The following is a 15346-nucleotide window of genomic DNA, read 5'->3' on the forward strand; positions in this document are numbered from 1 at the left end:
AACTTTTTTTGGCAATGAAGGCGGAGTGGTGAAATATTAATTGTCCACGGATGGCATTCATCCTCATTACACAATGCGGATGTGTTTTCTCAGGATTTCCAAGGAATGGGCCCTTTCACGGCTGTGGGCAGCCAGGGATCATTCTGGGCACAAACGATGTCCCTGTATCTTAGAAGAGGCTGAACTTTTCTAGACAAAGCCAGCATCCTGAGACCCAGAAGGGACGTGCCTCAGCTCAGCCCTGCCACGCCGGCGGCTCCACAAACCTTCAGTGCCACGGCTGGGGAGCCCACTGGGCCGCCTCAGCCTGTTTCCATTGGTCTGTGAGGGAAATTCAAAGCCATCCCCCCCACACACACACACGCACTCATGCGCTTATACACTGGCATACACAGACACACACACGGACACACATGCAAACACATACACACAGACACACACATTCACACATAAATTCACACACAGGCACACACAGACACACTTACATACACAAACAGATACATACACACACAAACACACTGACATACACAAGACATACAAACACACATTGACACACACAGATTCATACCCACACATACACACTGGCACACAGACACACACATACACATGGACACACACACACACTGACACAGACACATACACAAACATGCATAAACACACACAGGCACACACAGATACACTCACATACAAACACACACATACATACACACAAACATACACACAAATACACACTGACCCACAAACACACATACTTATACACACAAATACATACAAACACATACATACACACAGTCACACACAAAAACATACCCAAACACACACAAACACATATCCATACACACTCACACACATACACACAACACATACCCACACATTCATAAACGCAAATCCACACGCACTCACACACATACCCACAAACACATGCTCACACACACAAACCCACACTCACACACAGAAATACATACACTTACTCCCAAACAGATACACACAAACACAGGCAAACACACCCCCCCACACACACCCACATACATTCCCACACAGTCTCACACATACACACTCGTGCAAATGCATATACACACCTATTTTTTCTAGTTGAATCTGCGTGGGAGCCTGAAACCTGGAGACACCCAGAGCTGCACCATTGCCTACCTGCATTTCCACCAGCTGCCACAGCCCACCGTGGCCCTCCCCTGGGATCTGGGATTGAGGCCGTCTCTGAGGGTTCTGGAAACTGTCCCTTGGTTTCTCCAGAAAGCCAGCCGACTGAAGTCTCATCCTTTCTGGGCGACAAGACTTTTGGGACCCAGAAAGCACCTGTTCAGGTCGTTCAAGTGGAGCGGTCCTCCCTTTGCGATAACTGCTGTGGGCCCTGACTGCCTGGTAGCCGCTCCACCTGCCTCCTGTTGGCCCTAGGAAAGCCACAAACCCTGTCTCAGCTGTCTTCAGCAGGCAGAGGAAGAGCGGCTGCCCCACGGTGGCAGAAACCCACCCGTCCAGGGCTGTGGTCTTCCCTGTTGGGCAATTCTGTTCGATCCCTACCTTACTCCTGAAACACATTGCACCCACCTGGAGATCCCACCATATCTTACAGTTTGGGCTTCCCTGACTCCTCCATGGCATCAGGATGGTGGCTGCACTCAGGACCTTGGGGACCACAGATGCATATTTGGGATTAAGCAGAGCAACGGGCCAAGGTTAGGGAGTTGGTAGACCTTGGCCAACTGGCAGCTTCAATTGTATTCTCCTGGCTGTGTCCCCCCTGGGGAGGGACTTCACTCTTCTAGGCTTTGGTTTCTTCACCTGTAAATGGCAATGCAGATATTTCCCTCATAAGAGCATTGTGAAGATTTAACAAGTTCATGGAACAAAGGGTATTGTGGATGCTCAATACACAGCAGCTTTGTTCCTTGATTCCTGTAAAGGTGATCTGCCTTGGTCCACCAGGCGTGTTCTTAGGAAAGAATGTGGTCTCGGTCATTTCTACTGTTGTGTAAATTTAAGCAGAGATATTATATACTTAGTGGAAATTTGAATTTTGGGATTGTTTTAGCTGAGTAATATGAGACTGTTCTCTCTGTGGCCTTGTAGGTATCAGTTTCCAGGGTAAAGGGGAGAAGGTTACTGGGCACAGGGCTTTCCAGAGGTCACAGTCTGCCCCTGGGGCTCAGGTTTGAATGGATTTCAAGAGAATGCCCAATGCTTACAGAAAAACGTGAAGTCTGGGGAAGTTGGTGGACGGCATGGCAGGAAGGGGCCTCTGAGGCGAGTAGCCTTGTACACAGCAGGTTCCTGCAACCTTCCTAATCGTCCAGTGGCTCTAGGGTTCTTCTGAGTGCCTTATGGACAGCTCCCCATGTTATTCCTCCCATCTGTTTCTATTGTCATCGGCCCAGTGAGCTCCAGAATCCATTGCCCATTTGCTGGTTCACTCTAAGAGTAAAACTCCCTGCAAGCGTTTGAAACCCAGCCGCGCGTGTTTGGATGGAGACAGCCGGAGCACTCTCACTGACTGCCCAGTGCTGCGAGTGGGTGTGCCCCTGCCGGGCGTGTGTGCATGTGTGTCTATGCAGGTGTGCATGAGTGTGTATGCATGCACATGATAGATAAAGAGATATGAAGAGCTAGACGATACTTTGCCACCAATGACCCAAACCTTTCTTTGACCTTTCAGGAGTTTTGCAAGTATTTAAAGAAAGTGAACATCCCTTCCATTGTTCTTTTTGCTGGTTTACCTCACTGTATGCACCTGGCAGGCTGTAGTCAGGGGTCACTCCGCTGGAATGTACTGTATTGAGTATTGGGTACTTGGGTTGGAGGCAACAATGATGCACAGGGACTCTTGGCCTTGGGTAAATAGAGCAATATCCGTGGATTTTTCCATGAAATGCAGGCTCGCCTGTAGCCCCCAGCTCACTGTGGAGACAAGGTAGGTAAGTAGCCAGCCAACTTTGATTACACCACAAACCACTAGATGTGAAATCCATGTGGCCTGTTCTTGGAAGTCTTGACTTGGCAAGGAAGAGCTCAATTCCTCGCCATGTCCCGGGAGGAGCTGAATGTGCAACCCACGCTTTGCCTTTGCATCTCCTTAGCACATTTTAATTTATACCCTGCCTTCTCCCGAAACAACTGGGGGAGACTGTGCCTCTCACGAAGTGGGTGGTTGGCTTTCAGGGGACAGTCAAGGTGGATGTATCACTCGAATGAATGGAACCTGCCAAGTCTTTGCATTTCCAGCCCAAACCTAAGCATATCTATTGTGGGTGTCATTCCTTCAGACCACTCAGCAGGGCCCACCTGGGGGCATGGGTGTTCTGAGCTTTCCCAGGTCACCCTTATAGGAAAAGGCCACTTACCTTCTTGGTCATATCGGTAAGTATGTGATAATTCAAACTCCACCCTGCTTTTTGCGTATAAGATAAAGGCCGACACTGAATTTTTGTTTACACACAGAGTTTTTTTTAGTGTTCACTCTGACATTAGCTGTTTTCTTGTTGTAACATCTTACTATTTTATTGTAGTGTGTGTGTGTTTAGTGAGTGACAAGTCAACATGGTAGTAGAAAAGCCAGCCTTGGCGAAGGTGATGCAGTGGAGCAGCTGCCCTCCTGGCTCACACTGGGCCTCCCTTCCTCTCTGCCTTGCACCTGGAGCCCCATGGTGCTCTTCTCTGCACGTTTGTCCACGTTCCTGTGGTAATTATGTAATCTAGGTGAGGGAGGAGTCGTGGAAAATTCCTTCTTGTAGACGACAAACCTGAACCTTACAGGCAGGGTCAAGACCCAGCCCCAGGTCTCTGTCCTCATGCGGAGAGTCTCCAGCAAGTTTTGCAGGGAAAATATGGTGGTCTCCTTGCTTTGATCACCTTTCTTTTCTCCCAGAGACAATGGCCACAGCAGTTTCTCACTGGCTACCACCCAGGCAGGAGCTCACCCTGGTGATGAGCCGCAGGGTCCCGGCCTGGCCTGGTTGGCCCGTCCCCCTTCTGCTTCCAGCCAGGGCTCTGACCCGCAGGCCAGCCATGGCCTTGTGGAAGGCCCAGAAACAGTTCTCCAAGTAAGATGCCATTGAAGGTGGGATGACAGCCCTTTCTCTACTGAGTGTGAGCACTTGGCCACACTGTCCCATGGGATCCCGCCACAGTCATGCGTGGTGTCACTCCCACTGTCACTCCCACTCTACAGATCAATAAACGGAGGTGCATGAAGAGAAGGCGCAGGCTTGGGGATGAGTGGCTGTGCTATCATAGAGCTGGGCCTTAAACCCTGGCAGCCTGGCCTTAGAGCCTATGGTCACCATTCTGCTAGGGATGTCTCAGAAGGAGAGAGCCCCTGGGTCTCTGGGATGATCTCCCAGGCTTCATTTTTTTAGATGCATTTTCATTGAATTTGGGGTCTTCTCTCCTTTAAAAAAATGGCCCAAAAGCCATCGTTTGGGAACAGCAAAGGATCCTCTGCTCTTTGAAAGCCAAAATCCTTGAGCTTAGCAAATTGCCTCGTACACAGATCAGACCTCCCAAGAAAAAGGGCAGCAGGGTGGTGGCTGGAGCTGTGGCAGCACCTCGGTTGGTGCCCTGTCGCCTGCAGCACCAGCCCGCAAGCCCCGGGGGTGTCCTGGAAATCTGCCTTCCTGGCCACCACTCCTGACACCCTGGTTTCTTAAGATGACAGAATGTAAGGTGGAAAAGAAGGCAGCATAGGGAGCTCGAAACTACTGCTCCGGACTCCCCTAAGCCTTTCCACAGGGCGGTGTTGGCAGGCTGTCCAGCCACCCTGGCCCGCGCCGCAGACAGGACTTCCTGGGAATCCAACATGGGGGCGAGACAGGAGTGGTTGGTATAAACAGTGACTTGCTCAGACCTGTTTCTAAGGAAGGAAGGAGAAGCTAGCTGGGCTCCAACCCCCTGCGGTGTCGTCTGACCCCACCTCAACACACACATTTCTTCTCCCTGCCTGTACAGAGGCCAGGCACCCAGAACTCCCTGAGAGACCCACCACGCCTCAGCCTGCCACCCCATTCCCCTGAGAAAGAAAAGCCAGCCGAGGAGGTTTGGGTTTTCTCAGGTACAGACGCTATGCACCGCGTCCCCTGAGGAGCCCGGGCAGTGGCGAGCCGTCCGGCCCCTCCGCTGCGTGTGTGGGGATTAATGTCCCGGCGTGGCAGGTCAGTGCAGTGTGCAGAGGCCAGTATTAATCGACAGATTAAAGCCAAGGAAAACCTGGGCAGGTGAGAGGAAGTCTCTGAGCTTGATCAAAAACATATTTCTGTTTCAGGTCTAAATAATGGGCTACGGGGAGGCACGTCTGTAAATTATACAGGAAGCCTTCTTCAACAACTGATTCACCCTGACAGTTTTACTGGAGTATATGAAAATGAGTATTAAAGATGTGATCTGTAGGCTTCCTTCCAGGAATTCCAATCTGGTTTCAATAAAATGGGAACACTGATTGGAAGTGAAGTTGCCTTCCGGTTTTGCCTTTGGCTATTACGTTCTCGTTCGTGAAATGACTGAATTCCACAACTACTTTTAATATTCACCTTTGAGTTCATCTCCCGCACTGGACACATTGGAATGATTAAAATAGCACTGGCTCCCCATGCTGGGTGCTCTCTAATTTAAAACAGCCCAGGTAGGGGCTGAAGACAAATGAGTCCTCCTGGTAAGTCCATTCGTTCTTTGCATGAAGTTGCTTTGTGGCACATTGAGGGCAGAATATTAAAAGTAAAAAAAAAAAAAATTAAATTAAATAATGCTCCTTGAGTAGATGCCTGAGGGAAAAGATTAAAGTTTGGTGCAAGGCAGAACTTGTAGTTTGTGTGGGATTGTTCTGGTTGCATTTATTTCTGAGCTTTTCTGCTTAGATTCTGTGCCTGCAACTGCAGTAATAGCCAGGAACCCGGGCTCCCTAGGGATGCCTTCCTCTTGGTCAGCCATGTGCTCTGACATGGCCTTGGTAAGTCGTTCCCAGCACGGGAGTGAGATTTGCCTTGAGCCACCTGCAGCTCGCCACCTCTCTTCTGCTCCTCAGGCCCTCCAGGGCTCATTCTCAAGAGGGCACTCTAGGTTAAGGAGCTCAGAGTGCCACCAAGAAGAGGGAAGCTAATTGGTTGATCCTTCCAGCACACTCCCAACAGAGACCCCCTTGCACCCCACTCTAATTATGGGGCTTATAGGCCACAGGTGTGTTTTCTATTCAACTTCTCTGGGATTTACTAGAGAAGGTGGATGAGCTATTTTGCTTCCATTTCTGTGCCAGAGTTCTCCCAGCTGGGAGGAAAAGAAAGGTGGTAGGTCTCACACTGCCTCCCCCATCATTTATTCATCCAGAGCTATTATAGGATTTTCAGTAAGGAAAAAAATGATACCTTGGGAGATTGGGCACCACTGGGAGACATGCATTCATTTTGAAATGTTTTTGTGAGATTGCAAATGTTGGCCTTTTTTATGCAAAATTCACATTTAATTTTCTCTGATCTTCAAAAATCACAAAAATAGTCTTCATGCATTTAACTTGGTATGAAACTGTGTTGTGTTTATTGTTTTCTAGCTGGGGATAACTTAACAGCCTGTGTTTTGGTTTCTAGTGTCTAAGGGTGTGGAACACCATGTACCTGTTGAATACCTCCAAGACAAATCCCATTTTTTAACCTGATGGACGAGGTATGCTTATGTGTTGGAATTAAAGGCATCTTTCCCCAGATATCAGTTGCCTCCTCTTGGGCCAACCAATGTGAAATGTGGACAGTAGCAGTAACGTCTATCCTTAATGCAGAAATTCCCCCATGATGGTGATGACCCAGTTAGATGGAGACTCACTGCATTTAAAATCACTCCTCCCAAGTACTGTTTACAAATGTAAGACTCTCTGGTTGCCATTCCTAATGTAAAGTATGGTGGCATTGGTGAGCACTGTGATGTTAACACAGCCGCACAGGGTTCTATACATTTAAATTAATGAAAATTAAACAAAATTTGAAATACAGTTCTTCAGTCACACAAGCCACATTTCATGTGCTCAACAGATGGTCAGTGACTACCATATTGGAAAGCTCAGCGATAGACCATTTCCATCATTGCAGAAAGATCTATTAGACATTGCTGGGTTCAAGTTTTATCATAATCCTAAGAAAATCATGAAGAAGATGAGGTCTCATTCCAGGCCAAATTTAATTGGAACCCTGCAATGTGAGAGTGGACCTGTGAGCTGTTGATAAACTTTGATGAAAGTGGAAATTTCCCATGTGGGACCCGAGACTAAATCTGACCCAGAGTATTTTGAAGATGAGGTTGGCTAACGATGGTTCTGCCAAAATACTTGTGACTGATCAGAACAGAATGGAATTCTGAACAGGTGCAATATCCCAAGTACTCAAGAACTCAAGTCCCTGATGTTAATGGCACAGGAAAAATGTTTCTCATTTTCTGCGACGTTATTTTTTATTTGGTAACTCTTAGATGTTTCTTGCTACATATGATTGCATCTTGCACCTAGGAAAGCACCCCTCTGCCAGTTCTGAGCCCCCTCGTTCCGGGGCTGGGTGATGGATCCTCCAGAGTGCATCCCAACCTCATCTCATTCTTGTGCTCGGCTGGGATAACACTTTATTTCTAGCATTCTACACTTTTTTGAGATATGGACTCTGTGCAGAGATATTCTTTTTTATACACTGAAGACAACACAGAGCACCTCTCTGCTCATCCTAAAGGCCAGCAAATTGGATGGAGGGCCCCTTATAAGCCCAGTTCCGTGTCTAAATGTACCCGGCCAGGGTGGCTCTCCCAGTGGCTCAAGCCCCTAAGGACCTCTGTTCTCTGTTCACCTGCCTTGAGCTGGTTACACAGAGGTCAGGCCAGGGACTTTCCTGCTGTCAGAGCATATCTAGCCCAGCTAAGCCACATCACCAACAACGGACAGTGGGTGTGGGCACCATTGTGTGGAATGTGCCATCACATAGTCCACGGTACGGGCAAGTATGGCAGGGTTCTGAAGATGTCAATTAGAGGGGGTGGAAATGGTCAGGGTAGACCCAAGAGAGCAACGATGCCTGGATGATCAGTTTTTGTTAGTCAGTAGTTACCAAGCACCTGCCATATTCCCGGAAGTGTGCTAGGCACCTCCTTAAGTTTGTTGCTTTTAATTATTGCAGGATGCCCTGATGTTAGTACTGTCATTTCCAACATGCAAATGAGTAGGTGACGCTAATAGCTTACATAACTAGTCCTAAGTCACACAGCTCAAGATCTGCTAAACTCAGACCTGAGTTCCATTGTCCTTAAGGCCGAAGTTGAGTACTACATGGTGGGGTGCTAATGGGTTTGGTTGATAGAGGAAACTCCCCAAGGAGGAGTCAGAGTCTGGCACAGATTTCCCGAGACTTGGGATGAGTGAGGGAAGCCATCCAGGACATGAGCCCGGGTCACCTGCTAGTTGTGGGATTGCACTGTGTGTTCTCGGAAAACGGAGCCAGCCACCCCAGGCCCATCTCAGTGCATGAACAGGGGCTGCTCCTCCCTGGGACTGGAGAACCAGTGGGCCCTGAGAGCACCTTCTTGGTCCTCCTGTCCACTTTCATTTTTGGAGAAGTTGCCTGAGGCCAGGATTGGCAGAGCTGGTTAAAGCCACGCAGAGCCAGAGGTGAAACCCAGGTCTCCTGCTGTTATTCCACATAAGAGCCCACTGGAGTTTCAGCCCAAAGACCAAGATGTCGGGTTTGTCCTTGTTGCCAGCAAGCACTTCAGGGCCTGCCAGACTCTCTTGGGAGCCACACCTGCCAGCATGGGCACAGTGGCTCCTGCAGGTGGACTTTTCACTACAGACTGGGAGGTCTGAGTACCTGCTTCCATCTGGATCGCCAGGGACTTGGTAGGATTCTATCTGCATGGGCGAGGCACGCACGTGTGTGTGTGTGTGTGTGTGTGTGTGTGTGTGTGTGTGTGAAGTTTGGCATGCAACCCTCCAGAATTGGGTGAGATTTTGGAGTGCTTGGAAGGCCTGGATCTCCCAGCAGCAGGCTCTGCACTCAGGGCTTTGCTGTTAGCATTGGGAGAACCCAGAAACAAAGATGCTTTTGCTGCAGCACAGGGCGCACGGTGTGTGCTTTGCTTTTAGCTGTGTTATGTGTGGACAGGAGGATCATCATGGTCTGCTTAGGCCTTTGAAGTTCTTAATCCAGTCCTGGTGATTGGGAAATATTTAATCAATCCATTGCTGACAATCTATAGAAGCTGCAGTTATAAAGCTAAGATGATGTGCACGGTCTCCCAATAAGTCAGCTAGAGATTTTATCTGGGGCCCCTTCCAAGTCAGTACATTTTCTCACACATGTGCCAGTGTGACCCACATCTTGCCCTTCTCATATCACAGCCCAATGACACTTTATTTGCAATATTTAATTGTTTGCTCCCTGCAACTGAACTGTAAGGGTCGAGAGGACAGAAACTGAGTCCGATTTGCTCCTGGTTCTATTTTCAGTGCCTGGAATGAGCTCTGTACACAGGCAGCTCCTTGGTCTCTGCTGAATGAATGAATGGCCGGGAATGAATGCCATCATGTGCTTGGCCCCATGGGGGAAGACTGCACCATGACCATACTCTCACATCCCGAAAGTTCCAGTGCTCCACGCTCTCCCTGCAGACCCCATTCCCTAGCCAGCTCCTCCTCTCCCTGTGCCTGCGAGTTGTATCCACATTGCTTGACACCTGAAAGAGGTTGTGGGCAACCCGGCCCAGCGCCCCTGATCAGCCATTTGCATCGTCTGCAGTGCTCCAAGCCCCCAGCACGCAGGCACTCCAGGCTGATCCAGGCTAAGCATGTGTTCATAAAGGCTTCCCCCTTTCTTCGGAAGAACCTCTCCTTTCCTCTCCAAATCACTCTGGCTGCTTCTTTGAAATGCCAGAACAGGGATGGAAGAAAACATCAGTGCAGCGGCTGCTGCTTCCGCTCTGAGAGGCTCAGATCTCTGAATGCTGAGGAGGGGCTGCATTTGGGGTGACAGTATCTTCTCCGAAATCTTCATCCACAGTAAACACTGCTAACTACCAACTCATAAAACATATCAGCTGGGTTTATTACTTTTAACCATCTTTCCAATTGTGCTATAAAATAAAGGCAGATGCCATTTTAAGATCTTATTATTGTCAAGGGCCGGCTTCTCCAGCAGCACCTGCTTAGCAGCAGTCTGCTTGTTTATGGCTCCTTTTTTTATAGGTGACAGTTTAAGGTGGCTCTTCTCCGGTTACAAAGAGTTCTTCCTGACGGCACAGAAGTGGCACGCACAGTAGGTGGGCCCCGGCTTCCGCTGGCGGTGCCGAGGCAGGGTCGCAGGTTCACCTGGGTTTTCCGTTGACAGCCTCGCCACACACATTTGGCTCTGCCAAATGCTCTGCCATTAATTTATGATTTAAAGTAATTAACTTTTGCTGATTAAAGTAATTATTTCAAGTGCATTGCACTCGGGCCCAAATGATGCACACAGCCCCCTCTCCAGTTTGAGCGAGCAGCATGCCAAGTGCTTAAAAGCTGCACCGGGGATCTCAGAGTGGCTTCTGCCCGTCTCGCGGATCTGCCATGTTTATGGCTGACTTGTACTAACTGCTCATTTTAATGCTGGATTCTGGCAGAACGTTGACACAGTGTGAAACCTTCATCCGGTAAACAAGACAAGCTTCAGCTTGGTGACACCGATGACAGTGGAAGCCGTTTAAATGAATCTTGCCTCCAGCCTTCCAGAGGTATCATGTTTTTGTGCTCTCCTGCTTACCCAGGTTGGCCCTTAAACAGTGTACAGCTTCATCTGGCCTCAGCCGAGAGTGCAGAACATATGCACGGTGGGAACCCAGCCCCACGCCCTGAAATTCAGCTGCAGCCCAGCACGGACCCTCCACTGGGCCCTCAGGGCCTGGAGAGAACAGGCTGGCAGCCAGTTGCTTCCCAGGAGAAGCTGGTCTCTGTTTAGGGAAACGTCTGCAAGGTAATGGAGAGAGACACAGATGAAGGGGGCTTGCGGGTGGGGGCTTGCCCCATCACTTCACATCAAAAGCACTTTCTTCCCTCGTGCCCAGTGGGGCAGGGAATCAAACACTGTGGTCAGTGACTTCCCTAGCAGGGAGACTGCTGCGGGCAGGAGCAGAGGAGCTGAGCGCTGGGGTCTCAAACCCCACCTTCCTCCCATTTCACTTGGGGGTGAGCCAGAGCCCAGCCTCCTTTGCACAGAGCAAGCGGAGAGTATGGGCACAGCACTGTCAATAGAAAACTGCGTGTTTGGACCACCAGGCTGAACAAGGGCACAGGAATCCTTTGCTTCCGAAAATCCTGCAAAAACAGTCATCAGAACTGTTCCCACTTTTTGTGCACCTGGTGTAGGCCAGGGATTGAGCCAAGCGCTTTGCATACATGAGCTCATGGAAGCTTCGCCGCAGTCCTAGGAGGCGAGCCGTGCTGCCCCACCTTCCTGGTGAGGGTATCTCAGAGAGGCGAGGAGTCACCCAAGGTCACTTAGTGAGCAGAACCAGGCCCTTCTCCTTCCAAAGTTCTAGAAATACAGTCTCTGTTTAATCCCTGTCTTTTTACTCATTAAAAAAAAAAAAATTGGAAAGGCACAATGGCCTCCTTTGGAAATTTTCAAAAGGAATGACCTTGTTGGGCTTTGAGAAGAGTCCTAGAGCCTCAAGGCCCCCGCACCGCCTTACCTGGAAGCAGCTGTCATCTGTGCAGCTTTTTAGCCAGGCAGGGTGAGGGTGAGGGGCCAACTCTCGATGCCTTGACTTTGCAGGAGATGGACATTTCAGTGGTAGCATTGTATACTTTTGTTCGCTGCTATTTGGTGGAATGGTTTGGGGGATAAACTTGATTTTTTATCTTTTCTCTTAGTAATTATCCCAATGCCCTGGGCTTTCGGTGAAACTGCAAGGAAATCTAATTTTGTATGTAATTAAGTGCCTGATGGGCAGTGATCCCCGGCAAACGATATTTCAGCTTAATGTTGTTGAGCAAACATCACCAAAAACTGATGAAGCCAAAAACAATCATCTGTGTGTTGGCGCCACTCACCATCACGCGAGAGCTGGGGTCATAAATAAACCACTTCACTTTCAGGGTGAATTAAGTGCTCTTAAAGGGTGTAAGTAAAAGCGCATCAAAGGGAAGCAGTCTGCTTCCATCCAGAAGTCTGGGCCGCTCCAGAGTGATTGGGCAGATGCCCCGTCCTGGCTGGTACTGGCCTGCAAGGGCGACGCTTTGCTTGCTGCTGTCTCGAGGACCAGTGAGGGTGCCAAATGGCAGGGTCTGGCACGTGGACCAGCCCGCAGTGAGCAGGGCCTGGGGTGACAGCAGTGTATGCCCCCGGGAGCCTGGGAAGAAAGCTCCTGCTGCCAGGCCTCGGCCACTGTGGCAAGTGGACGCCGGTGCTGCCCTGCTTCCAACTAGGAATTCCCCGAAAACTGGCACCAAATTAAATTTTAAACGCTGGAAAGGAAACCTAGAGCACTTGAAGACAGTAGCAGGATGGGCAGCCGTGCCCCACGGCAGGGTGCTGAGGACGTGGCTGGAACTCACGTCATTGGTTCGACATCTGGTGAATGCAAAGTCCCACTGTGCAGAGGAAACACCCTGTGGGTGGGCGGGTGCCCTTTAGAAGAGGGTTCCCCCACCCCACCTTCCACGTTTGATTGTTTTAGATAAAAATAATGAAAACAAAACATAACTTTAAATACGGTGTTTCACAACCCAGTTTGGTCAGCTTTATTAGGCTACTCGTCTTGCCCTGGTTTGCTGAGGAAACTCCAGGCTGGGAAGTTACACAGCCCCAGGTGGGAATCTCTGGCCCTTCCCAGCTGAGTGGCCTGGGGCAAGCGATTGAATTCTCCCAGCCTCAATTTCTTCAGCTGCAAAAGGGGAATAAAACATCCCTCATCCTACCTGCGTGGGCGTTAGAAATGTGGCAGGCGCTAAGTCACGGCCCACTTGCTACAGGCCGCACAACTGCACTGGGTGTGACTTTATTGTCAGGATTCCTGCAAATTCCAGCAGTGCAACCCAGTGGCTGAGGTTTGGGCATGACCCAGTGGTAGTTCCTTAGCACCCACCCAAGGAGGCACAGGAAATATGAGAGAGGGTGCAGAATGAGGCAGCGGCACCCACACCCACTGGGTATGCCAAAGGGCGCTAGGCAATGGGTCAGCACGCAGCAAGGAAGCCCAGAGGTGGGACACAGACAGGTTCCCCTCACCATCTAAAATGCTCTGTCTTCCCTCATCTTCAAGGTCCACTCACTCAACAGGTGTAGGGCACCTGCTCCAGGTCAATGTGTGTTGTGGGTGCCAGGATACACAGGGACAAGACCACAAAAGACAGACAGCAAAATGTAACATCCTTTCCTAGTGAACATTTGGAAAACACTGAACAGAGCAAGTAGGAAAATGAGTGCCTCCATCGTCCTGGCACTCAAGGGCATTCCTGGTCCAGGTGGCAGCAAATCCGCCTGGTTGCAGACTGGAGCTGCAGCTTCCAGAACCATGAGGATGGGGGAAACACAACAAAATCTTGAAAAACACCACATCTGATAAGTGCATCTTATCCCATTATGTGGGTACCTGCAATTAACTGATCATGTAGTAGTGGGTGTTGTAGATTAAGTAGCAGCCCCTTATCCAGCAAAGACTTTGCAGATGTAAATAAATTAAGAATCTCAAAATGGGGAGATGATCTTGGATTATCTGGGTGACCCCTCAATGTAATCACAAATGTTCTCTTGGGAGGCAGAAAGAGATTTGCCCCAGAAGATGGAGCAGCAATGTGACTGTAGAGGCGGAGACTGGGGCGATGCAGCTACAAGCCAAGACTTGGTGGCAGCCACCAGCAGCTGGAAAAGGCAAGGAAGGATCCTCCCCTCGAGGCTCTTGAGGGATTGTGGCTCTGCCTATGCCTTAATTTCAGCTCAGTGAAACTCATTTCAGACTTATAGATGCCAGATGTGAGAGAGTAAGTAGCTATTGATCGGTTACAGCAGCCAAAGGGCACAACAGGTGAATGTAGCAGGTGAATGTTTTTATTAATTCACCCCAAACAAAGGGGTGGGATGGAGCTACTTACTAGGCAGCCACCATGGGAGGCAACAGATGAGTGAATGAACAATGGATGAATGCACCACCCACCGTTAGGCTGGAAATCAGGTGCTGCATTTTTATTCTAATTCACATTATCCGAAAATAGTCACTGTATTAACCCGTTCTCACATTGCTATAAAGAAATACCTGAGACTGGGTCCTTTACAAAGCAAAGAGGTTTAATTGGTTTATGGTTCTGCAGGCCGTACAGGAAGCACGGCAGCCTCTGCTTCTGGGGAGGCCTCAGGAAACGCACAATCGTGGTGGAAGGTAAAGGGGGAGCCAGCACTTTACATGGCTGGACTGGGAGGAGGAGAGGGAAGAGGTGCCACACACTTTTTAACAATCAGATCTCAGGAGAACTCACTCCCTCACTATCACAGAAACAGCATCGGGAGGAATGGTGCTAAACTACTCGAAGATCCCACCCCTATGATCCAGTCACCTCCCCACAGGGCCCACCTCCACCACTGGGGATTACAATTTGACATGAGATTTCGTAGAGACACAGAACTAACTATATTAGTCACCCACGGCGATTGCATCGTTGGTACTCACTATCTTTATTTACCTTCAAACGGGCAAACTTGACCAGTGAGGTGAGCATCTTTGGGGCAAGTCCTCATCACCAACTCCAGCCCTGTCTGAGCAGGAGGTGAGAGAGTCACTGACCTTTTAGATCAGCCCCCACCTCTGACTCGGGTCGGGGGAGAAAGGGCTGGCTGATGGGGTGGGGTGGGCTAATGACACCTGTCAGCCTCCGGGGCCTGCTAGGTGAGGGCACAGAGGTAGGGGATGTAGGTGTGGTGCCATGGCAGGCCCTTGCTGGGCACAGCTGAAGCTGCTCTCACTGCTGACTACCCCCTGGACAATGGCACTGTCACCTGCACTTCCAGTGGGGTAGGCTGAGAGTCTTGTGCATGCACATGCCTTTTTCTGAATATGCTTTTCTGGGACAAGGCAGATGTTCCTCTAGAGCAAATCCCCAGAAACAGGTTGGCCACATTGTCCCAGCTGGTGCCATGAGGATAAAAGAAGAGGAGTTCCCTGCAGATACTGGCCCCAGTCTCCCGGCTCACCCTAACCCTGCTTGACTTTGTCTTGTTGCTTTCCTTTTTGAAAATAAGATATTTTCCTTGAGCCTCTATAAGCCTTGTCATTTTCCTTAAAGAAGATATCTGTTGGCATTTCAAGGAGACAGGATTTGTGTTACACACTGTATTAGTCTGTTCTCACACTGCTA

The 15346-nt window shown here is 49.6% G+C and overlaps 2 annotated features.

Moving 5' to 3' along the window:
- Nucleotides 11997-12498: an enhancer, noted in NCBI's record as "H3K4me1 hESC enhancer chr10:130281351-130281852 (GRCh37/hg19 assembly coordinates)". NCBI's record gives its function as "activates a minimal SCP1, AML or CMV promoter by ChIP-STARR-seq in primed H9 embryonic stem cells {active_cell/tissue: H9 hESC(primed)}" and the evidence as "EXISTENCE:reporter gene assay evidence [ECO:0000049][PMID:30033119]".
- Nucleotides 12499-12998: an enhancer, noted in NCBI's record as "H3K4me1 hESC enhancer chr10:130281853-130282352 (GRCh37/hg19 assembly coordinates)". NCBI's record gives its function as "activates a minimal SCP1, AML or CMV promoter by ChIP-STARR-seq in primed H9 embryonic stem cells {active_cell/tissue: H9 hESC(primed)}" and the evidence as "EXISTENCE:reporter gene assay evidence [ECO:0000049][PMID:30033119]".

This window comes from Homo sapiens, chromosome 10 (assembly GCF_000001405.40).
Source record: "Homo sapiens chromosome 10, GRCh38.p14 Primary Assembly".
Taxonomy (NCBI): Eukaryota; Metazoa; Chordata; class Mammalia; order Primates; family Hominidae; genus Homo; species Homo sapiens.